The sequence below is a fragment of the Homo sapiens genome, chromosome 8 (genome assembly GCF_000001405.40).
Source record: "Homo sapiens chromosome 8, GRCh38.p14 Primary Assembly".
NCBI classification, from domain to species: Eukaryota; Metazoa; Chordata; class Mammalia; order Primates; family Hominidae; genus Homo; species Homo sapiens.
The window spans coordinates 37,812,844-37,835,526 of record NC_000008.11 but is presented as its reverse complement, the minus strand read 5'-3'; the positions used below and the strand labels follow the sequence as shown (position 1 = coordinate 37,835,526).

At 55.1% G+C, this 22,683-nt stretch overlaps 1 protein-coding gene across 4 annotated transcripts in view, besides 6 other annotated features; it reads right to left on the bottom strand.

The window, feature by feature from the left end:
* Nucleotides 1–22,683, bottom strand: part of ADGRA2 (adhesion G protein-coupled receptor A2) — a 48,014-nt gene that overhangs the window by 9,370 nt on the left and 15,961 nt on the right. For 3 of the 4 annotated variants that reach the window (XM_011544481.3, NM_032777.10, XM_011544483.3), the window contains exons 2-12: nucleotides 20,560–20,631; nucleotides 6,568–6,639; nucleotides 6,195–6,266; nucleotides 5,968–6,039; nucleotides 5,513–5,676; nucleotides 4,604–4,817; nucleotides 3,940–4,104; nucleotides 2,319–2,517; nucleotides 1,690–1,839; nucleotides 1,399–1,560; nucleotides 129–353 (exon numbers count right to left, since the gene is read on the bottom strand). In XM_011544481.3, the coding sequence (XP_011542783.1) occupies nucleotides 129–353; nucleotides 1,399–1,560; nucleotides 1,690–1,839; nucleotides 2,319–2,517; nucleotides 3,940–4,104; nucleotides 4,604–4,817; nucleotides 5,513–5,676; nucleotides 5,968–6,039; nucleotides 6,195–6,266; nucleotides 6,568–6,639; nucleotides 20,560–20,631 (1,567 nt within the window). The remainder of the gene's footprint in view (nucleotides 1–128; nucleotides 354–1,398; nucleotides 1,561–1,689; nucleotides 1,840–2,318; nucleotides 2,518–3,939; nucleotides 4,105–4,603; nucleotides 4,818–5,512; nucleotides 5,677–5,967; nucleotides 6,040–6,194; nucleotides 6,267–6,567; nucleotides 6,640–20,559; nucleotides 20,632–22,683) is intronic. The other variant, XM_011544482.3, reaches the window with a different exon arrangement.
* Nucleotides 6,413–7,381: an enhancer, noted in NCBI's record as "H3K4me1 hESC enhancer chr8:37685664-37686632 (GRCh37/hg19 assembly coordinates)". NCBI's record gives its function as "activates a minimal SCP1, AML or CMV promoter by ChIP-STARR-seq in naive H9 embryonic stem cells {active_cell/tissue: H9 hESC(naive)}" and the evidence as "EXISTENCE:reporter gene assay evidence [ECO:0000049][PMID:30033119]".
* Nucleotides 7,698–9,955: an enhancer, noted in NCBI's record as "VISTA enhancer hs1665". NCBI's record gives its function as "enhancer in: heart[5/7] | blood vessels[7/7]" and the evidence as "EXISTENCE:transgenic organism evidence [ECO:0001131][PMID:17130149]".
* Nucleotides 13,147–13,720: an enhancer, noted in NCBI's record as "H3K4me1 hESC enhancer chr8:37679325-37679898 (GRCh37/hg19 assembly coordinates)". NCBI's record gives its function as "activates a minimal SCP1, AML or CMV promoter by ChIP-STARR-seq in primed H9 embryonic stem cells {active_cell/tissue: H9 hESC(primed)}" and the evidence as "EXISTENCE:reporter gene assay evidence [ECO:0000049][PMID:30033119]".
* Nucleotides 19,147–19,912: an enhancer, noted in NCBI's record as "H3K4me1 hESC enhancer chr8:37673133-37673898 (GRCh37/hg19 assembly coordinates)". NCBI's record gives its function as "activates a minimal SCP1, AML or CMV promoter by ChIP-STARR-seq in naive H9 embryonic stem cells {active_cell/tissue: H9 hESC(naive)}" and the evidence as "EXISTENCE:reporter gene assay evidence [ECO:0000049][PMID:30033119]".
* Nucleotides 19,913–20,678: an enhancer, noted in NCBI's record as "H3K4me1 hESC enhancer chr8:37672367-37673132 (GRCh37/hg19 assembly coordinates)". NCBI's record gives its function as "activates a minimal SCP1, AML or CMV promoter by ChIP-STARR-seq in naive H9 embryonic stem cells {active_cell/tissue: H9 hESC(naive)}" and the evidence as "EXISTENCE:reporter gene assay evidence [ECO:0000049][PMID:30033119]".
* Nucleotides 20,679–21,444: an enhancer, noted in NCBI's record as "H3K27ac-H3K4me1 hESC enhancer chr8:37671601-37672366 (GRCh37/hg19 assembly coordinates)". NCBI's record gives its function as "activates a minimal SCP1, AML or CMV promoter by ChIP-STARR-seq in naive H9 embryonic stem cells {active_cell/tissue: H9 hESC(naive)}" and the evidence as "EXISTENCE:reporter gene assay evidence [ECO:0000049][PMID:30033119]".

The window sequence follows — 22,683 nt, the reverse complement described above, 5'->3', positions numbered from 1 at the left end:
ACACCAGGACCCCCTAGAGCACTGATGTCTTGCAGCCCCCTCCTCCCACCTCCTCTCACTGCCCCCACCAGGCACCTGCATCTGAGTGCCTCCCTTCTCCCACCCCCTCTCCCTCCCCCAGCGCCCACCTTGATGTGGAAGGACGACAGAGAAACATTGGGCCTCCCGGTGGTGCAGCGGAAGCGGAGCTGCTGGTCAGCTGGGGGCTCGGGCTCAGGTGGGGGGTTCTGGCCAGGGCTTCCTGGCCGTGTGCCCGGCACCCCTCCCTCCCTCCTCTGGAAGGCTGTGCAGGTCAGGCCCACGTAGCTGTGCGGCTTGATGAGGTAGGCCTCCAATGCCACGTTCCTCGCATTCTGGGGACAGGGACCTTGTCATCCCACCATTTGAGATGGTGGCCTTCTGCTTGGGACTGCACATCTCTCTCAATGGGCCTGCTCAGGCTGTAGTCCTCCCCTTCAATCCTCAGTTTTTTCAAAGCCACCTCTCTCTCTTTTTTTTTTTAGAGGAACAGATTCTTGCTATGTCACCCAGGCTGGAGTGCAGCATCACAACCAGCTCACTGCAGCCTACAAATCCTGGGCTCAAGTAATCCTCCCACCTCAGCCTCCTGAGTATCTGGGACTACAGGCATGCTACCATGCCCATCTAATTAAAAACTTTTTTTTAGAGATGGGGTTTCACCATGTTGCCCAGGCTAGTCTCAAATTCCAGGCCTCAAGTGATCCTCCCACCTTGGCCTCCCGAGTAGCTGGGACCACAGGCGCATGCCAACACTCCTGGGTAATTTTTGTATTTTTTGTGGAGACCAGGTCTCTCTGTTGCCCAGGCTGGTCTCCAACTCCTGGCCTTGGGAGATCCTCCTGTATCGGCCTCCCAACGTGCTGGGATTACAGGCTTCTTGCTCACCTCTTAAGTATGCCAGTTCTGTTGCCCGACTCAGCTGTAGAGCAGGCTCCATGTCTCACCCCTTTGCATCGCCCCAAGGGCCTAGCACAATATCTTGAACATACACGATGCTGTACTGTGGTTGTTATCAGATTGGAGCACTCACCTTCTCTCAGGGAACTTCCATTACTCTTCACTCAATCCCGAGTGCTGTCTGCCCTGCCACCAAGCCTTCCTCCCATCCCTTCTACTCCTTTCACTCTTCCTCCTGCTTATTCCCATCAGGCTGGCCCTTTGGCTCAGTTCCCCACCACGGAGTCTGGCATCACTTCTCCAGGGTCACCGGCCACCTCTCCTTAGCACTGCCCCTGACAACTTGGAAGTGAACCCCATGGCTCAGAACTTTGTCACGTCTGCTGCTCTTGCTAGCTGGGGCACGGCAGGTGCACGCCTGAGAGGGAGCGCCTCCCTCCTCTGCATGCCAGGGCCACCCCCTCTGCTGACCCCCATTACCACTGAGATGTGCTGGGCATGGGGGCTGAGGGCGGCCCCCCCAATGCGCTCCAGGGCACCCACGATGCGGCTGCAGGCCTTGTCCTCGCGCTGGGCCAGCCACAGCAGGTGCTCGTCCACCAGCATCAGGTTGCTGGCCATGTCCACCATCACCTCTACCAGCTGGGGGGACAGGGAAGTTGCTGAGGGCAGGGGCGGGGTTTGGGACCCAGGAGCTGGAGTGAGAGAGAGGCTTGAGCAAATGAGGGATGGGGGCGTTTTCCGAGCTCCTGAGTTCCAGCTGAGTCTCACCTCTTTGATCTGGTCGACATAACCCAAAAATTTCTGGATCATCTGAGCCACATAGACTACATCCATCATGTCTGAAAAGCTAGCGGCCTCGGCTGTGTACACGCGCAGCTGGTGAGCCAGGGTCAGCGCATTGGAGGCATTGATGGGCATCTGGGGATTGGGGGAAGAGAGAGGATCATCTCGCCTGTTCCTTCTGCCCCCGAACTGCCCCTGGGGACCCTCTGCTCTGTGCCAGTGCTCAGTGCCTGGGGACAGGAGTCCAGCCTACCTTCTGGGTCTCATCAAGCTAGGAGGGCAGAGGAGGCTGAGACCATCACAGCCCAAGGCCACCACTGCCAGCACCCCTGGTGTAAGGACAGTGGGACTCTGCTTTTGGCGTTGGTGAGTAAAGGGGCGTGAGGTGGCCAGATGGGGACAGAGGACTGGTGCCCTTCCCCACTGTGGCCTCAGTGGGTCTGAATAGCAGAGGGCGGCTGGAGGAGAGGAGCCGGCTCCTGGCTCTGCACAGGCAGGAACAGGAGGCACAGCCCAGCGGCCCGGAGATAGGGCTCCCCTTGCCCGTTAGGTTGGCTTCTCCCTTCCCTGTGCCCCCGAAGCAGAGCTGGTGGGGTGCCCTAGCCTCTCCTCACCAGCACGAAGGTGTACAGCACCCTGGTGATGTCGTTGGTGTAGAGACAGTGGGAGTAGTCCCCTGGCTCCCAGCGGCCGGCACGGTCACACCGGCGGGAGGCTCGGGTGCCCGGGGCACCCCCGCCCAGGGGCACTGAGGTGAAGGGATACTGCAGGCAGGACTGGTAGGCTGTGATGCCAGCCAGAGTTCGGGGCCACCTGGGGGGAGAGGCAGGAAGTTGCCGATGAACCGGGCTTCTCAGAACAACAGCCCTTCTCCCGACTTTAGAACGGTGAGGCCGGACTCCTTGGGGCCTTGGGGAGGGATCCAGGAGCGGGGTTCAGACCAGCCTTCCAGGGGTTCCCAAGTTCCACTCTCTTTGTTCTGACCGGGCTATCACAGGCGATAGGGGGCTGGACTTCAGAGTTCTGAGTTTAAATTCAAGTTCTGCCACTTATTTGCTATGGCTTAAGGCAAGGTATTTATCCTTTCTCGGCCTCAGTATTCTCAGCTGTACAGTGGGGAGAATAATAGCTTCCCTGCATAACAGAGAGGGTCACTGGGATCTTAAAAGGTGATACTCTTTGTGGGTGAGCTTTTGCAAACTATGAATATAAGGAAGCAAATAAAAGCCTTTTTGTGGCCAGGCACAGTGCTTGAGCCCAGGGGTTTGAGACCAGCCTGGGCAACAAAGTGAGACCCTGTCTCTACAGAAGATAACACAATAAGCTAGGCATAGTGTCTGCGCCTGTAGTCCCAGCTCCTTGGGAGGCGGAGGTGGGAGGATTGCTTGAGCCCAGGAATTCGAGACTGCAGTGAGGTATGATTGTGCCACTGCACTGGAGCCTGGATGAAAGAGCAAGACCCTGTCTAAAAAAAAGTCGCAGTGGCTCAAGCCTGTAATCCTGGCACTTCGGGAGGCCAAGGCGGGTGGATCACTTGAGGCCAGGAGTTCGAGACCAGCCTGGCCAACATGGTGAAACCCTATCTCTACTGAAAATACAAAAATTAGCTGGGCATGGTGGCACAGGCCAGCTACCGGGGAGGCTGAGGCAACAAGATCATGCCATTGCACTCCAGAGTGAGACTCTCTCTCAAAAAAAAAAAAGTCTTTTTCTGCAGCACATCTCAGATGGTAATTTTGTTTGTTTGTTTGTTTTTGAGATGGAGTCTTGCTCTTGTCTCCTAGGCTGAGGCTGGAGTGCAATGGTGTGATCTTGGCTCACTGCAACCTCCGCCTCCTGGGTTCAAGCGATTCTCCTGCCTCAGCCTCCTGAGTAGTTGGGATTACAGGCACGCACCACCATGCCTGGCTGATTTTTGTGCTTTTTGGTAGAGATGGGGTTTTGCCATGTTGGCCAGGCTGATCTCCTGACCTCAGATGATCAGCCTGCCTTGGCCTTCCAAAGTGCTGGGATTGTAGGCGTGAGCCACTGCACCCGGCCTCAGATGGTAAGTTTATACATAAAGTCTATCTATTCGATAGCAAGGCTTCAGGCTGAATGACAAAAGGAAGTGTCTTCTCCATCTTTAGGACCCAACAGAGACAGCGGATGGGGAAACTCTGGCCACCTGTGATGTCAGGTGCAAGGGTGGGGTTGGGGGCTGGGCAGCCCTCTACAGGGTGGAGTGGGCCAAACCTGAAGTCCCCGCGGTTGTTGGCAACACGCTCGGCGGGGCAGTAGGAGGCAGAGGTCTCCAGCACCACGATCTCCACCTTCTTGCTGGCGTTGCCTTGGGCCATGGACACGGTGCACTCCCACTCGCCTGAGGCCCACACGCCGATGTGAGACAGCGTCAGCTCACTGCGGGTGGCAGGTGGAGCTGGCTCGTGAGTCACCCTTGGGCCCAGCCACGTTGCCCTCCCTCAGCACCGTCCTACAACACTAGCTGCAGGTCCTTTTTTCTTTAATGAAACAAGGGATGCAAGTATGCACTCCTTTTATTCTGATTGGCCTTATGATACTGTTTTTTTGAGCTTCAATTTCCCCATCCTTATCATGGAGCCAATAATATCTCTCTTGCAGGTCTACTGTAGAGATTAAATCTGGTGCCATAGATAGGAGCCACTCTATACAATGTAAGAACACTAAAGAGATGTGAAGTATCATCATTTTGTTCTATCAGATATTTATTTCTAGCCTCTATCTAGACCATTGATAACTTAGTCCAGTCTTTCCATAAATATACAAGCACAGTCTCCCGGGAACACATCTGGGGGCAGCTCTTTTGCGGGGTGGTGACGGGTAGGGTAGGTCCCCTAACCCCATGCTGAGGCCTGAGGAGGGGCAGCGGGGCTCATACCTGGTGATGAAGGTGCAGTCGTGGATGAGGCTCTCGGCCAGGAGGATGCCCGCCTGCTCATCACCCTCCACAGGGGCTCGGTTGTGGTACCAGCGGATGCGGGTGTCGTTGCCCAGGTAGCTGGCAGAGCACTGGAAGGGCAGCCGATCCCCCTGGAACACCACTTGGCGTAGGGACGGGATGAGGTGGTGTGTGTGCAGCTCCAGGGCCCCCTCTGTGGGAGGAGACACCAGGCGTGAGGCCCGAGTGCACACGCATGTGAGGCTGCACGTGTGAGCGAGAGTCCAGCAGGATGGGGTGGGGCGGGGCGGGGCCCTCGGCCTGCAGCCTGCTCCAGCTGGGAAGGAAAAGGGGTCAAGAGAAAGTCTCTAGGGGTAAGGGTAAAGGGGAGGGACAGGCGGTTTTTGGACAAAGAAAAGTACTCCTTTCTCAGCACACGTGTTACCCCAAGAGGTGGGGCCAGATGAAAACATAAACAAGCAGTCCCAAGGGGGCTTAGAAAAGCTGATGGAGGACTGACCCCGGGACACCGAGGGAAAGGGGATGCCCTGGAGGACACGCCCAGCACACAGTCATAGGCGGAGTAGGGAGAATAACACTGGCCCCGCCTCACAGGGAGGGTCGCTGGGATAGTAAATGTGATTCTTTTTGTGGGAGAGCTGTTGCAAACCTGTAATGAAAGACAGCACAGAAAAGCCTTTTTGTGCTGGGCAGCACTTCTCAGATGGTGATTTATACATAAAGATAAGGTCTCCCTAAATGCAAGAGCAGGACTCAGTGTCGTGGTCTTTTGCAAATTGCAATACAAAGGTAAAAACCTGTGGGTCTGAGGGGAGGCTCGTGTCTGGGCCCTGGGTTGGTGGAGAGGCAGGGTCCCTGGGAGATGTGTAGCTGGGGGGACTTGCTCACCGCAGCAGAGCTGGGCCTCCTGGAGGCTGCCCAGGGCCTGAGCATGCAGGGCACTGGGGTAAGCACAGAGCGTGTGTTCCGACAGCTGCAGGGAGCGATTCTGGGCCCAGGGCAGCAGCCAGCGCAGGTGGCAGTCACAGGTCAGGAACTCGGTGCCCAAGTCCCTGCAGGGTGGGCAGAGGGGTCACGGAGCAGAGCAGAGGGAGTGTGGGCTCATGGGTGGCCTGGGGCCCCAGGGAGGGATGAAGCTGGAGAGGGTAGGAGGGGCAAAATCGGGTCTATGTGCACCATCTCTGCCCCGGGCCATCGCGGGAAGGTGATCATGGGGGCATTTCAGGCACTGTCTGCTGTGGCCACTCGTGAGACCAGTCCTGGTGGTCATGATACTTATACATCTCTCCTGGGCAGAGAAAGGGACAGGGGTCTGGGTCCTTGAGCTAGGAAGAGATACTCACACAACCTTAAGGGCTGGCAGCTCATCAAAGACCCCAGGTTGCAGACTGGAGAAGATGTTTCCAGATATGTTTCTGCAGGGAACAGGGGACAACTGAGATGGGGTCTTAGGGTGTCCATGGGCCGGCGGAGGAGAGCAGGTGGGATGTGGAAGGGTTGGGGGCCACATTTTGCTTCCTATGCACTTCTTCCCTCTCCTCCCCTCCCCACTTCTCACCCCATCACTTACAGTCGGAGAAGCCTGGGGAGGCCCTGGAAGGTCTCGGAGGTGAGACAGCCAATCCGGTTGTTGGAGAGATCTCTAGAGAGACACAGGCAACCTCAGCATGTTGGCCACGTGGCAGCACGTGGGTCCACTTGTGAGGAACACATGGGTGGGGCCAGGGCTTGTGTTGGGGGGTGGGATGAAAAAGGAGATGAGGTTGGGGCCAGGCCGCAGCTGGACTGGAAATGCCAGCTCCTTTGACCCCAGCCAAGGCACCCAAGCGGAAAGGAGGGGCAGGTGTGGGGGGGTGAGAGGAAGGGGGTGGGCATGGAGCAGGAGGGGTGACTTTCTCCCTCGGGAGGGGAGGGGTGGGGTCAGGGGAGGGCGTGCCACTCACAAACGCTTCAGCTCCCCCAGGCCCAGGAAGGCGCCCGGCTGCACTGTGCTGATGATGTTGTTCCTCAGGTCCCTGCAGAGGCAAGTGCAGAGGCCCTCACACCTCTCCCCGCTGGAGCCGCCCTGCTCCCCGGGAGGGGTCCTCACTGTCACCACGGTGTTGTTGCTGGGTTTCTCAGGGACTTGACTTCCTGCTAAACCTCTGCTCTCCTCAGCACCGGGTGGGAGGTGGGATTAAAGAACCACCCCTGATCAAGGCCATCCTGGCCAACATGGTGAAACCCCGTCTCTACTAAAAATACAAAAAAAAAAAAAAAAAATTAGCCAGGTGTGGCAGTGTGCACCTGTAGCCCCAGCTAGGCAGGAGAATTGCTTGAACCCGGGAGGCGGAGGCTGCAGGGAGCCAAGATCGCGCCACTGCACTCCAGCCTGGGCGACAGAGCGAGACTCCATCTCAAAAAAAAAAAAAAAAAAAAAAAGAACCACCCCCTCGGACAGGCCTCCTCCGCCTCCCTGGCTACCATCAGCGGGCACTGGTCAGAACAGAGAGAGGAGACGAAGAAGCCAAGAGATGGGATCACAAGGGCCTCAGACAACATGGAGAGCGTCCTGGATTGGAAGTTAGGAGGCCTCCTTTCCCACCCTGCCCCACCTCCGGACTGCCCTGCAGGTCGCTGGGGTTGCCCTGGGAAGCATTTGAAAATAGGTGTCATGGTGTTTTGTAAATTGCTATGCAAAGGTAGAAGCTTCTTGAGCCTGGCCTTTGTGGGCAGGGGAGGGGACGCATGGGAGGGGTAGTTGTTTTGTTTTGTTTTGTTTTTGAGGCTGGGTCTCTCTGTCATCCAGGCTGGAGTGCAGTGGTGTGATCATGGCTCATTGTAACCTCAAATTCCTGGGCCCAAGCCATCCTCCAACCTCTGCCTCCCAAGCAACTGGCACCACAGGTGTGCGCCACCACACCCGCTAATTTAAAAAAAAAAATTTTTTTTGGTAGAGACAGGGTCCCACTATGTTGCCCAGGCTGGTCTTGAACTCCTGGGCTCAAGTGATCCTCCCTCCTGGGCCTCCCAAAGTGCTGGGGTTACAGGTGTGAGCCACCGCGCTTGGCCAAGGAGGGTATTTTTATGGCTGTTTTATCCCTGTGCCCCTCTCTGTCTGACAGGCGAGGAAACAGGTCAGGCGGCTGGCCGAGGCCCAGGTGGACTCTGCCTGGCTCCTCTCCAGGGCAGGGGTGTAAGTCCTGTCCAGCCTCCTCCTTCAGATGAGGAAGCCAGGGAAGTGACAGCTTGTTCAAGGTCCTCAGTCCTGTCTTCTCCATGGGTCTCCGCAGGAGCCCGCAGTGTCGGGAGACAGGACAGAAGGGGGCTGTGACCCCCCAGGGATCCCAGGGGCCAAGCCTGGCCTGGAGGAGTGAGCGGCAGGTAAGTCCGCAGCCTTCCAGCCCTGAGTCTGTGGCTCAAATTCAATCATGGCCTAGGCACAACTCTCTGCCCCCTTCCTCACCTGCCCCTGGGGCTGCAGGGACAGTGCTGAGGAGACAGTGCCCACCCACAGGCGACCTGCTGGGTATCTGCCTGCCCTAACCCCACACCTGCCAGGGCAGCCCCCTGGGCTCTTGGGGCAGGCAGGACCACAGAAGACCAAGGTGGGTGCCTGCTCACTGGCCTTCTCCCTCACCCTGTCCTCTGTGCCCTGCACAGCCAGGGACAGATGCCTAGAAGGCAGAGTGGGTGGGGCCAGTTGCCCACCTACTCAAAGGCCAGCTGGCTCTTTCCTGAGCTAAACCAGGACAGGCTTCAGGCTCCATAGAGCTCATGGGCCTCACAGCCCAGTGGGCCTCCCTGTGCTGGGTCTGAGATGGAGGCAGTGGCCTCTTGGCTCCCACCCACTGGCAGGAGATTGTGAGGCAGCAGGCAAGGGTGGGTGGACCCCTGGAGCAGGCAAGGGTGGGGGCCCCCTGTCTGAAGGGGCTGTGGCGGGAAGACAGGAGATCCACAGAGATTTCTGGGGCCCACTTGCTTTCCCAGGCCTTACCACCCCTCAGCCCAGATGGAGGAGGGGGTCAGGGTTGGGGGCTGAGGGGACTCTTGGCCCTGCCACCCCTCAGCCCAGATGGAGGAGGAGGTCAGGGGTGGGGGGCTGAGGAGGCTCTTGGCCCTGCCCACCACAACCTCATCAACGTCTCTGGATTACTGGGCAGGAGGGGGTTAACCAAGCCGGCTGCCCGCTGGGAGGAGAGGAAATGGGTGTTCAGGACGGGGAGGTACTGTCCCACCAGGGGGCCTGTTTGTGCACAGTCCCGCTTGGGGACAGAAACACTGTGCACAGCCCTTCCCACGGCCAGGGGAGCCCTCACCCTCAGCTCCTTCCCATAGGAAGGACTCGAAGGACTCAGCCGGCCTCCATGACCCCAAGTCCCTGGAGAAGGAAGGGAAGGGGCCACCAGAAGGGGCCAGTTCCCTAGAGGAGGGATGGCTTCCATGCTGGGGTGTGCTGGGAGGTGCCCCCCAGTGAGGCGCACACAGGGACCGTGCCAGGACACTGATCCTAGGCCCCTGGCCGAGGGAGAGGGATGCAGGATAAGTATCCTGGCTGCCAGGGGTGCCCCTCTGGCCCAGCCCCCACCGTTTTGCCGCCAGACCCCATCCTCACTGCCTGCCCCTCTGGGACTGTCCCAGCATGTGCCCCCTGGCCCCTGTTGGGGTCTGGCCATTCTCAGGGCTCAGCCTCCCACCCCCACGTGGGGGACGGGCAGAGGGAAACACATTCCTCATTGTGTCACTTCCCTTCATGGGCTGCCAAGGGGCTTAGGCGCAGCCCCCCTTCCCTCCCCGCTCACTTGTGTTTATTCTCATTTCCTCCCCGGGCCCCCTCAAAAGCCCCCACCCGCCTGCCCCACTGATGCTCTGCAGATGGGAGCGAGGCGGCGTCCAGGCCCCAGCCCCTCTTCCTGCCCTCGATTTCCTGCAGCCCAGCCATGCTGGGGCCTTGGAGAGGGCACCTCCACCTCCACGGAGGGTGGGCATGCCTTCTCCCTTGCCTCAAGCCCGCCTGGGGAGGAGCCTCGGGGTGACCAAGGCAGCCCCCACGAGTGCCCTTGGGAGCTGGCCTGTCTCGGCTCCCTGGGCTGAGCTCTGAGAGCCTGAAGGACCCATGGGAAGCCGATGCTGCCTGGTCCCTCTGGGTAAGAAGCTGTGTCCTCCCTCGGGGCGGGAGAAATGCTACCATAAGACTTGGACATTTTTGGGACCTGCAGGTCTCCTATAGATTGGTTGTTTTGAGCCTTTTTTTTCTTAGCACATCCTTTTGAAGATCTACGAAGGCCATGAACTTCTGCCCGAGAAAAACTCACTACACCCATCACTATGCATACAATTTCCAGAGGGGCATAGAGCCCAAGTTAAGAAGCCCCGGCCGGGTGCGGTGGCTCACACCTGTAATCCCTGCACTTTGGGAGGCCGAGGTAGGCAGATCACCTGAGGTCAGGAGTTCGAGACCAGCCTGGCCAACATGGTGAAACCCCGTCTCTACTAAAAAAAAAAAAAAAAAATTTAGCCAATGTGGGGGTGGGCGCCTGTAATTCCAGCTACATGGGAGGCTGAGGCAGGAGAATCACCTGAACCTGGGAGGTGGAGGTTGCAGTGAGCTGAGATTTCGCCACTGCTGCACGCCAGCCTGGACGACAGAGTGAGACTCTTAAAAAAAAAATGACAGAAGTCCTTTGCTGGATGGTCTGATCTGATCCCTCCGTTTCTCAGGTGAAGCTAGAGTAGCTTGTGGAAGCACGCGCAGATATGCTTCCACAGAGCCCTGTCCTTGGAACCTGGGAAAGACGCAGGGTGTTGAAGGCACTTCCCCTCCCTGCTACCCATTGCCCCTTGACTCCAGGCCACCCCCTCCCTGTATCTCTGTCAATATGCAGGAGGATTCCCCTAAGCCAGATGTGGAGGGAGGATTCCTGGGAGCAAATCATGCCCTATGCCGTTGTTGGGAAAACAGAGGCTTTGGGAGCTGAGTGTGTAAGAGTGAGTTTGTGAGCAGAAGCAATGAAAGGAGGAGGGAGTAACGGATGAATAAAAGTTCAGAAAAAGCAAAACGGGGTGAAATAGGAAACAAAGCAGATTGTTAAGTTGAATTTAATAACAACTTAAAAATTTTACACCTTTGGCCAGGTGAGTGGCTCATGCCTATAATCCCAGCACTTTGGGAGGCTGAGGCAGGTGGATCACCTAAGGTCAGGAGTTCGAGACCAGCCTGGCTAACATGTTGAAACCTTGTCTCTACTAAAAATACAAAAAATTAGCCGTGTGTGGTGGCGGGAGCCTTGTAATCTCAGCTATTCAGGAGGCTGAGGCAGGAGAATCGCTTGAACCCGGGAGGTGGAGGTTGCAGTGAGCTGAGATCACACCATTGCACTCCAGCCTGGGCAACAAGAGCAAAACTCAGTCTCAAAAAAAAAAAAAAAAAAAAATTGCACCTTAGAGGATACCATCAAGAAAGTGAAAGAGAACCACAAAATGAGAGAAAATATTTGCAAATCAGATCTGATAAGGGATGTCTATCTAGAATATACACAGAACTCTTACAACTCAATAGCAAAAAGACAAATAATCCAGTTGAAAAAAATGGGCAGGCTGGGCATGATGGCTCATGCATGTAATCCCAGCACTCTGGGTGGCCAAGGCGGGCAGATCACGAGGTCAGGAGTTCGAGACCAGCCTGACTAACATGGTGAAACCCATCTCTACTAAAAATACAAAAATTAGCTGGGCGTGGTGGCGCATGCCTGTAATCCCAGCTATTCAGGAAGCAGAGGCAGGAGAATCACTTGAACCCAGGAGGCGGAGATTGCAGTGAGCTGAGACCATGCCATTGCACTCCAGCTTGGGCAGCAAGAGTGAAACTCCATCTCGAAAAAAAAAAATTGCATCTTAAAGGATATCATCAAGAAAGTGAAAGAGAACCACAGAATGAGAGAAAATATTTGCAAATCAGATCTGATAAGGGATGTCTATCTAGAATATATACAGGACTCTTACAACTCAATAGCAGAAAGACAAATAACCCAGTTGAAAAAAATGGGCAAAGGATCTGAATAGACATTTTATCCAAGAAGACACACAAATGGCCAATAAGCCCATACAAAGATGCTCAACATCACCAGCAGTAAGGGAAATGCAAATCAAAGCCACTTGACACCTACTAAGACAGCTGTAATAAAAAAGAGAGACTCCAGCAAGTGTTGATGACGATGTGGAGAACTGGAACCCTTACACATTACTGGTGGGAATGTAAAATGGTGCAGACACTTTGGAAAACAGTTTCACAGTTCGGGTTACCATATGACCCAGAAATTCCACTCCTAGGTATATATCCAAGAGAAATACAGATACATCCACACAAGAACCCATAGCTGAATGTTCACAGCAGCATTGTGCATAGTAGCAAAAAGTAGAAACTGGCCACGTGTGGTAGCTCAAGCCTGTAATCCCAACACTTTGGGAGGCTGAAGTAGGAGGCTCACTTGAGACCAGGAGTTCAAGACCAGCCTGAGCAACACAGTGAGACCCCTATCTCTACCAAAAAAGAAAATTGGCCAGGCATGGTGGTGCGTGCCTGTAAGTCCCAGCTATTCAGGAGGCTGAGACAGGAGAATTGCTTGAGCCCAGGAAGTCAAGGCTGCAGTGAGCCGTGATCATGCCACTGCACTCTAGCACTCTAGCCTGGCGCCAGAGTGAGACCCTGTCTGTCAAAAAAAAAAAAAAAAAAAGGTTGGGCATGGTGGTTCACACCTGTAATCCCAGCACTCTGGGAGGCCAAGGCAGGCAGATCACAAGGTCAGGAGTTCGAGACCAGCCTGACCAACATGGTGAAACCCCGTCACTACTTAAAAATACAAAAATTAGCCGGGTGTGGTAGTGCGCGCCTGTAATCCCAGGTACTCAGGAGGCTGAGGCAGGAGAATCGCTTGAACTCGGGAGGAGGAGGTTGTAGCAAGCCGAGATCGCACCACTGCACTCCAGACTGGGCAACAGAGTGAGACTCCATCTCAAAAAAAAAAAAAAAAAGTAGTATCCACCCAAATATTCAAGAGATGAAGGGATAAACAAAATGTGGTGTAGTCATACAATGGAATATTATCTGGCCATTAAAAGGAATGAAGTGCTGATACGTGCTATAACATGGGTGAACCCTGAAAGTACCATGCTGAAAGAATCGAGTTATGAAAGATTACCTATTGCATGATTTCATTTATATAAAATGTCCAGAACAGGCAGATTTATAGATCTATAGACAGAAAGCAGATTAGTGGTTGCTTGGGCCTGGGGAAGAGGGGGTGGAGGAATGAGGAGTGACTGTTAATGATTCAAGGTTTCTTTTGCGGATGATGAAAATGTTCTAAAATTAGATTATGGTGATTACACAATTCTGTAAAATATACTAGAAACCATTGGATTGCACACTTTTTTTTAAACGGGTGAACTTTTATGGCACGTAAATTATATCTCACTAGAGCCGTTAAAGAGCATGTGAGTTAAAGAGCATGTGACTGTGTGTGTGTGTGTGTGTGTGTGTACCCACATACAGGCAGGGTGGGGCCGCAGAGAGTCAGCTCCCTCTGGCCCCACAGACCTCCCTGCTTGTGGGTTTGAAAACCAAATTATAGGTTCGGAGGCCACAAAGCAGCCTTCCCTGGGCCTACAAGACTTCCAGGGTTCACTAGAAAGTGGGGGCTGGCTGAGAAGTGGGCCAGGACACCCTGCAGGTATAGAAGTGTCTAGGGGAGGAAGGGAGAGGTTCTAGTCCCATCCTCCAGGTGCCTCTTGTCTCTGATAACAATCCACAGGTTATTTATTGAGCATGTACCCCATGCCAGGCATGGGGGCTACCATGGCAAACAAGAGGGCTGTCCCTGAACACATCAGCCTTCCCTCCTGGGCCTCAGTGGTGCAGGAGTCCAGGCAGCTTGTCTGCGGCATTCCTCCCCAGTGTTGTTGGGGACGGGGAGGGGAGGAGGGACAGAGCCCAGCAGCCTCACCCTCGGCCCCACCCACAGACTAATGGAAGCCACCTGGCGTTGGGCAAGCCTCACTCCACCCCCAGGCCGCCACTTTCGTTCGTTCCCATGAGCATCTGCTTCTAATGAGCGCCTCAGCACCCCTGCATACCAGCCCCCGGGGCTCATTAATCTCATTAAGTAATGACAAATCATCCCGGGGCTGACCGGGCTCCCCTTCCCAGACTCTTTCCTTTAGCCGTGCACGAGCCTCTGGGGGCCAGTGTCCACACAGACCCATGTGCTGGCAGGCACGCAGTCTCGCTCCCTTGGCCTCTCTTGGGGCTGTCTGCCCTGGCCGGCTTGGTCCCTGGTCTAGAGGCATCTTACTGTGACTGACACCCTCAGAGCCCCCCAGAAAAGTCTTCCTGTGGCCTAGTCCCCATTGCATGTGCTTGGCAGGGGATCCCGGGGAATGAATCACCAGCTGTACTTGGAGCATGTATATTTCAGCTACACAGTTGCCTGCCCAAGGCTGGGAACTGTAGGCAAATCTATGCAAATGACAGGCGGCCAGGGTAACATCTAGCAACTGGGAAATCTTCAGAGGGGAAGGGAACTGCCTGCCATATACTGGAAGCCTGTGCTGCCATGCGTTCTGTGTAAGGAACTCTTCCTCTGTTCCTGTAACAATTCCTCATAGCCCTATTTTCCAGGTGAGTAACCCAGGGCTGGGAGAGGCACTGGAAGGTAAAAGAAGGAGGGATGATTCCACTCCAGGCTGCTTTTCACACCAAATGGAGTCCAGCGCTCTTTCATCAGCTTCTCTCTGCCCCAAAAGTCTTTCCTTTGGGCAAGAAACAGTCTTGGCCATGCTGGAGGGTGGTGGGAGAGAGAGAGGGCACAGACGTGCAAGGTGGGTCTTCTGTACACTCCCTGGGCGGCCCAGGAGGTGTTTCTGCAGGGCTCTGTTTCAGGTCTTCCTGTCTATCCTATCTGGCTGATAAAGGTGTGTGCCCCCCCATCTCCACCCCTACCCCCAACCTCTCTGGATGATCATCTCTGACACATTCCCACTGGGCATCCGCTCTGTGGCCCCTTCCTTGCCCATCCTGCCCATGCTGGCCTCAGGACCCTGCATTGCAAAACAGATACCACGCAGATCTACTCCCAGCTCCTGTACAACAAGGCGACCCCCTCACGTACACACAGCCCATTTGCAAAGGCTCAAGGGGCTCTCAGCCAAGGAGGCCATGCAAACACATTCTGCAACAGCCTGGAGCTTCCGTTTCAGTTAACAGACTGGGCCTCAACCCTCCCACTGGACGTGCTGCTCATAGACTGTGGGATGTTAAGTTGCCATGGCCTCAGCCGCCCAAGCCTAGACATCTGAGTTTGACAGGACAGAGGGATCAGTGTTTCCTGAGCACCAACTACATGCCAGCCCATGGAGTCTTATTCCTGATGAATAGGCCCTCAGTCTAGGGGTCATCTTGCCCACTGGCACCTAACCCTGGATGAGCATGAGAATTGCCTGCATAGCATGTAAAAAATTCCCAGGCCCCATGGGACAGATGAATTAGAATCTCCAGGAGGGAGGCCCAGCATCTGTATTACCCAAGGGCCCTCTCCTTCTGGGGGGATAGTGGTTGTGATGGTTAGTTTTGTGTCAGCTTGACAAAGGCTATAGTACCCAGTGGTTTAATCACACATGAATCTAGATGTCGCTGTGCAGGTATTTTGTAGATGTGGTTGACATCTGCCATTAGCTGACCTCATGTGAAGGAGATGCTCCTGTATGATGTGGGTGGGCCTCATCCAATCAGCTGAAGGCCTTAAAAGCAGACACTGAGGCTTCCTAGAGAAGAAATTCTGCCCCAAGACTGCAGCGTCTGCTCCTGTCTGACTTCTCAGACTGCTGGCCTGCCCTACAGATTTGGGGTCTGCCAGCCCCCACAATCATGTCAATTCCTTTTTTAAAAAATGTCTTCATGGCCAGACGTGGTGGCTCATGCCTGTAATCCCAGCACTTTGGGAGGCTGAGGTGGGCAGATCACTTGAGGTCAGGAGTTCGAGACCAGCCTGGCCAACATGCTGAAACCCCATCTCTACTAAAAATACAAAAATTAGCCAGGTGTGGTGGCACGTACCTGTAATCCCAGCTATTCAGGAGTCTGAGGCAGGAGAATCACTTGAACCTGGGAGGTGGAGGTTGCAGTGAGCCAAGATTGTGCCACTGCACTCCAGACTGGGTGACAGAGTGAGACTCTGTCTCAAAAAAGAAAAAAGAAAAAGGCCGGGTGCGATGGCTCATGCCTGTAATCCCAGCACTTTGGAAGGCCAAGGAGGGCGGATCACAAGGTGAAGAGATCGAGACCATCCTCATCCTGGGCAACATGAAACACCGTCTCTACTAAAAATACAAAAATTAGCTGGGCATGGTGGCGTGTGCCTGTAATCCCAGTTACTTGGGAAGCTGAGGCAGGAGAATCGCTTAAAACCCAGGAGGCAGAGGTTGCACTGGAGATCGTGCCACTGCACTTTAGCCTGGTGACAGAGCGAGACTCCATCTCAAATAATAATAATAATAGTAAGTATTTGCATATATAAATACAGCAGTGATCAGTGACCACGTTGGAGACCCTGAGCTCCTCCAGCCCTGAACAAGCACCATCCCTGTCCTGCTGCCCACGGCACACCCTTCTGCCCAGATGGCCCCTCCTCTGGAAAGCCTGGCCCTGTCACTGGGTCCTGTGATTATCTTCTCCTTATGGGCGCTGTGGGTGTCCCACACACATCCAAGGATCATAGAATTTTAGATCCATAATGCACCTCCCAAATCACCCCATCTACCCTAGCTCTTCTGACAATGAGGAATCGAAGGCCACCCCAGTAGCCACCCCGGCATCACATCCTACCTGTCTCCTGCCACCTCCCCCTGGCTCGCTTTGCCAGCTCACACTGCCCTTCTATTTCTCAGACTCCCCAGGCATTCCCTGAACCCAGGGGCCTTGGCAATGCCTGCTCTCTTCATCCTTCCTGAGAGCTCCAGGCTTCCTTCCTCGTCCCTTCAGGTCTCAGGCCCAGGCATGTCATCAGCAAGGCCTTCCTGACCTCACTACATAAAATAGCACCCCTGGCCCTCTTGCTTTCTCACCTCCTTACCCTGCCTTGTTTTTCTCTGCTGCACTTAGGCCTCCAGACACACCACACACCTATTTGCTATTTTCTGGGTCCTATCAGTAGAGGTAAGGGCCGGGAGGGCAGGCACCTGATCTCCTGTGCTCACTCCCAAAGCCTAGAACAGAGCCTGGCACATAGAAGGGCTCAGTGAGCACCTACAGAATGAATGGATGGGGTGACCAGCACAGAGCAGGAGCTGGGACTCAGCGTTTAGAATTCCCACTCTAGTACTGCTCCTACATCGCACGACTCGGCATCAAGCCAGATGCTGCCTCTTGTGAGCTGCTGCCGCCCTGGTTCTTCTGATTGCCTGCCATGCTCAGGGTGCACTTGCTATGCAGCCTCCAGAGCCTTGGTGCTGGAGAAGGACAGGCCGTCTTTTCATCTTCATCAGAAAAATGTGCTCTCATGAGACTGAAGGATGAGGAGACAGGGGCAAGGCTGAAGTAGGGGAGAGGTCAGTGAGGCCACCAGGGGCTCTGTGCAGTACCTTCTCACTTGTGTGTGCTAAGGAGGAGGAGGAAGAGCCATTGTGGGAGGTGCCAGCCTGAGAGGGGCAGGGCAGGGGCTGAAGAGACCACTGCGGCTTGCCTTCCTCCAAAGACCCCTGGAAGGACATCTGGTTTCCTGCGACTCCAAGACTTCCTCCAAGACCAAGCCTGGGCTGAGCAGAGGACACAGAGCTCTCGAATGCTTAGCTGCTTTCCCTCTTTGTTGGCACCCAAGAGGACTTTTATTTCTATTTATTTATTTATTTAGAGACGGAGTCTTGCTCTGTTGCCCAGGCTGGAGTACAATGAGTACAATGGCGTGATCTCAGCTGCAACCTATGCCTCCCGGGTTCAAGCAATTCTCCCTGCCTCAGCCTCCCAAGTAGCTGAGATTACAGGCACCCACCACCACACCCGGCTAATTTTTGTATTTTTAGTAGAGACAGGGTTTCACCATGTTGGCCAGGCTGGTCTCGAACTCCTAACCTCAGGTGATCCGCCAGCCATGGCCTCCCAAAGTGCTGGAATTACAGGCGTGAGCCACCATGCCTGGCCTATTTATTTATTTATTTATTTATTTAGAGAGACAGGGTCTCACTCTTTTGCCCAAGCTGGAGTGCAGTGGCACAATTATGGCTCACTGCAGCCTCAACTTCCCCAGCTCAAGCGATTCCCACCTCAGCCTCCTGAGTAGCTGGAACTATGGGTGCATACCACTGTGCCTGGCTAATTAAAAAAAATATTTTTTCTAGAGACAGGGTCTCATTATGTTGCCCAGACTGGTCTTGAGCTCCTGAGCTCAAGCAATCTGCCTGCCTCCCAAAGCTTTGGAATTACTGGCGTGAGCCACCATGCCTGGCACCAAGGAGACTTTTAGATAGCAGCTTGGTGGCAGCCCTTCCTGTGCATCAGGACCACTCTGTCTGTGAGCCACAGAGCAGACGGTTAGAGGGACCTAGTCACGGAGCCGCGTGCAAATGTCACTGTCACCATCCCGGGTCGCCCTGCTACTCCAGCTTGTCCCAGATTGGTAGACAGCCTGCTCTACCTTTCTGCCCAAATATGGGATTTGTGCCTTCCCACTCCCAGGAACCCAGCCAGGCCATCACTCTTTCCTCCCAGCTTCGGGGGCTTGGGGCCAGAGGCTTTCCCTTCCACGGTGGAATGGGTGTCATGGAGGCTCCCTCACGAGGCTGCTGTCATGATGAGAGATCTCAACACCATGTCACATCCATACTGTGTCTCCATTACCTGTGAACACTTCTTTGGACTTTGCTGACACCTCCTTTGAACTTGACAGGAGCCCTAATCTATGTGTGTGTGTGTGTGTGTGTGTGTGTGTGTGTGTGTGTGTGTGTGTGTTTTGCTTTCTTTTTGAGACAGTCTTGCTCTGTCGCCCAGGCTGGAGTGCAGTGGTGCAATCTCAGCTCACTGCAGCCTCCACCTCCCGGGTTCAAGCAATCCTCCTGCCTCAGCCTCCTGAGCAGCTGGGACTACAGGCGCATGCCACCATGCCCAGCTAATTTTTGTATTTTTAGTAGAGATGGGGTTTTACCATGTTGGCCAGGCTGGTCTCGAACTCCTGACCTCGTGATCCACCCACTTTGGCCTCCCAAAGTACTGGGATTATGGGCACGAGCCACTGCACCCAGCCGTGTGTGTGTGTGTGTGTGTGTGTGTGTGTGTGTGTGTGTGTTTGAGACGGAGTCTCGCTCTGTCACACAGGCTGGAGTGCAGTGGCGCAATCTCAGCTTACTGCAACCTTGGCTTCCCAGGTTCAAGAGATTCTGGTGCCTCAGCCCCCGAGTAGCTGGGATTACAGGCATGCAGCACCATGCCCAGCTAATTTTTGTATTTTTAGTAGAGGTGGGGTTTTACCATGTTGGCCAGGTTAGTCTCGAACTCCTGACCTCAAGTGATCCACCCGCCTCGGCCTCCCAAAGTGCTGGGAATATAGGTGTGAGCCACCGCGCCCGGCCTAAGTGTGTGTGTGTTTTTAAGAGACAGGGCCTTACTCTGTTACACAGGCTGGAGTGCAGTGGCACAATCATAGCTCACTGCAGCCTTGAACTCCTGGGCTCAAGCCGTCCTCCAGCCTCGGCCTCCCAGAGTGCTGGGATTTACAGAACCACCACGCCCAGACCCCAATATACTTAATTCTAGTATACATGGCATTGTTTGTGGTCTCCCCTGGACTGCAATTGCCTGGGCTGTTTTTGAGCAGGAGAGTCACACCTTATTCTTTTGTGTCTCCCATTGCGCTGACCCATTTGGGCAAAATGGCGCTAGAGGGGCCAAGGGCCCTCCCTGTCGGAGGAACTAGGAACGCCTAGCAGGATGAGAGCAGAGATGGGAGACGGGATGGGGGCGTGAGAGAGAAAGCAAGAGTCAGGCTCTAGGAGAGGTGGGAGGCCCAGGCTTCCTCTGTGGAGGGGCAAGGACCCAGAATTGTGGTCCAGGCTGTGGTCCCTGGATTGTACCGACGGAGCAGGTGACTTAGAGGGTGATTACATTCCTGAGTCTGGCAGCTTCAGTGACTGGCCCAAGTGGCTGAGTGAGGTCTCCCACCCAGGGCTTACCCTACCTCTCCATGAGCCCCGTGAACACTCTCCCCATGAGGAGAGGGCAGGGCTTCTGCATCCCCCCATTTCCCTAACAACTCACAGCCACCAGCTCCTCCTCGATAACCCTCTTCCCCACACTGGCCCCACCAGATGCAGGGGCCCCAGCTCTGGGAATGAGGTTCCAGCCGGCTAGCGGGGAACGCCCAGACCTGGCTGGCAGCCTCAGGGCCAAGGCCAGCCTGAAGGCTGCCACTGCCCAGGCGGCTCTGAACCAGGGTGGGGTGGGCTGGAGTGGGGGAGAGGCTTGGAAATGATCGGACTTCCCCACCCTCAGCCCCCTTGGGGCTTTGTTTGTTGATTTGTTTGTAGGAAAGGCGGAAAAGGGCCGCAGTCAGTCGCTTTAAGCTGCCCTCCGCCCTTTTATGCTGGGCCCCCAGCTGCGAGGGGGAGGCCAGTCGAGAGCTCGGCCCTCACAGCTAATTGCTCATTAAAGAGCGTTAATGAGCTTCTCAGAACCCGCTCCCCACTTCTCTCGCCGTGGCTGGCAGAGGAGCTGGTCTCTCGTTCCATACCAGCGCCTCTGTGGCTTCTCCTTGTTGGTCAAGCCCTGGGCAGGGTCCCAGTGGGTCTAACTCCGGGCCCTGCTCGGCCGGCAGGTTCTGGAGTCACTCAGCGACCAGCGTTCCTCCTCCTCCCCGGGGTGACCTCTTGCCATCACGGCCACCCCCCTCCTCCACCTCACCTTCCCCAGCACTTACAGCTTCTCCAGCAGTGACAGTCCCAGGAAGGAGCCATTGCGGAGCCCCGTGATCTTGTTATTGCTCAAGAGCCTGAAGAGACAGAGAGGACACAGACAGGACAAGGTGCTGTTATGTGCTGGGCATCCGCTTTCACCACTGGTGGGGCCAGCTTGCATCTTTGTCAATGGCGCCCCCTGGAGTTGTGCGAGGCAGCAGCCCCCACCCTCTACTTCCGGAGATTACAGGGAGAAGCTGGCCAACGGTCCACCCAGCCCCACGTCAGACCTTCCTGCCCTGAGTCTCCTCCAAGCCTGGCTCTGACGTGGGGCTCTGTGTGCAGGTGGGAGGTGGGCTGAGCAGGTGGGGGTGACCCTGTGATGCCCCGTTTCCACTCTGGAACCACAGGGCTGACCCTCAGTGCCCCCTCATGATGCCCTTCACAGTTCCATCCTTGCTCAAGCCCTTCACCCAATATCCCGAAGAGAGTGGTGGGGAGAATGGCTTGAACGGGGCCAGGATGCCCAGAAGGTCTGGAGGCAGGCGGGAGCTGCCCTTCCTCGGAGGCTCGCACACTCTCACCTGTGAGCGAAGGACCTCACAGGCCCCCATCTCAGAGGGCCTGAGTGCACAGTGGCCGCATCCTGGCCTCCTAAGCCTTCTGAAGCCTTGGCAGAAAGCCAATGGAGCCCCGAGTGTAGGGGAAGCCAGGCCTCAGCCTCAGCCTCTGCGCCTCGGGGTTCTGTTTATTTATTCGTTTGTATTTAGGGGAGGAGGAAAGGGGCCCCAAGTGACTGAGAGAGACCGAGTGTCTCATCTCCGCCCACCCACTCAGCCTTTCTCTGCCAAGCTCCCTGCTGGGAGGAGGGAGATCCAGGCCAGCCAAAGGGCTCATCCCCCAGTTAATTGCTTATTAGAAAGCTTTAATGAGCCTCTCCGCCCAAACTCTTGCCTGCCCTGGGCTGAGGCAAAGGGTCTCCCTTCTTTGGTCTCAAGGGTAGAGAACTGATGTGGGAAGGCCAGAGGTGCAGGCCCTGGGCCTTTCCTTGAGGGAGCGGCCTCCAGGCTGGACTGGAAGGGAGGGGGAAGTGGGAAGGAACAAGCCCTAAGAAGAGCTGGCAAAGAGATGAGCCTCGAAGCTTCCTGGAAGTGGTGGGTGAACAGACCAGGGGCAGTGGGGAGACCCCCGACGGCTGACATTCCAGCTGCTCTGTCTTCCATTGGCTCGTGGAGAAGACAGTGGCCAGGATGGAGGGAAGCATGGAAAAGAGTTGAAGGGGCTTTCTAGGGCGAGGGGTGGAGGAGGGAGGGGTGGAGACCTCATCTCCTTCCTTCCTTCTCCCCACTCCATAGATCCCTCCCACCCGTCCAGTCCCTGCCTAATGGTCCCCCCAGTGGTGACATTTCCTGGTGGGAAGTGATGGGTAGGGGGGTAGGTTGGCTGAGTTTCCAAAATGCTTACACACACACAAACACACACACACGCACAATGTTGATATGTCAAAAAGTACATCACAGTAGTCGTTATATGGGATATTAGATCTTCTATGAACTCACGTTATTATTTTATTTATTATTCTCATTTTATGAGTTAGGATAGTTTTATTTCACTTCATACATGGGGTGTTGGTGATGAATCATAATCTTGGCCATTCTTAGGGCCTCTAGAGGCCTCTAAAGGTCTCATCAGGCCCTGGTGGGCCTGGGGTGGCCTCTGAGTGGTGACAGGCTCTTTAAAAGAAATTAAAAAAAATTTTTTTAGAGATGAGGTCTTGCTCTGTCACCCAGGCTACAGTGCAGTGGCACAGTTAGAGCTCACTGCAGCCTCACTCCTGGGCTCAAGGGATCCTCCTGCCTCTGCCTGAGTGGCTGGGACTATAGGCACGAGCCATCATGCCTGGCAGGTGACAGGCTCTGACTTTAAAGTCAAAGCCTGCCTCACTCCACCCCCAGTTCATGCCCTTCCTATACCCCAGAGTTTACATTAAATGTTGGACAAGGGGCTGGGTGTGGTGGCTCACATCTGTAACCTAGCACTTTGGGAGGCTGGGACGGGCAGATCACTTGAGGCCAGGAGTTCAAGACCAGCTGGGCAACATAGTGAAACTCTGTCTCTACGAAATAAATAAATAAATAAATAAAAAT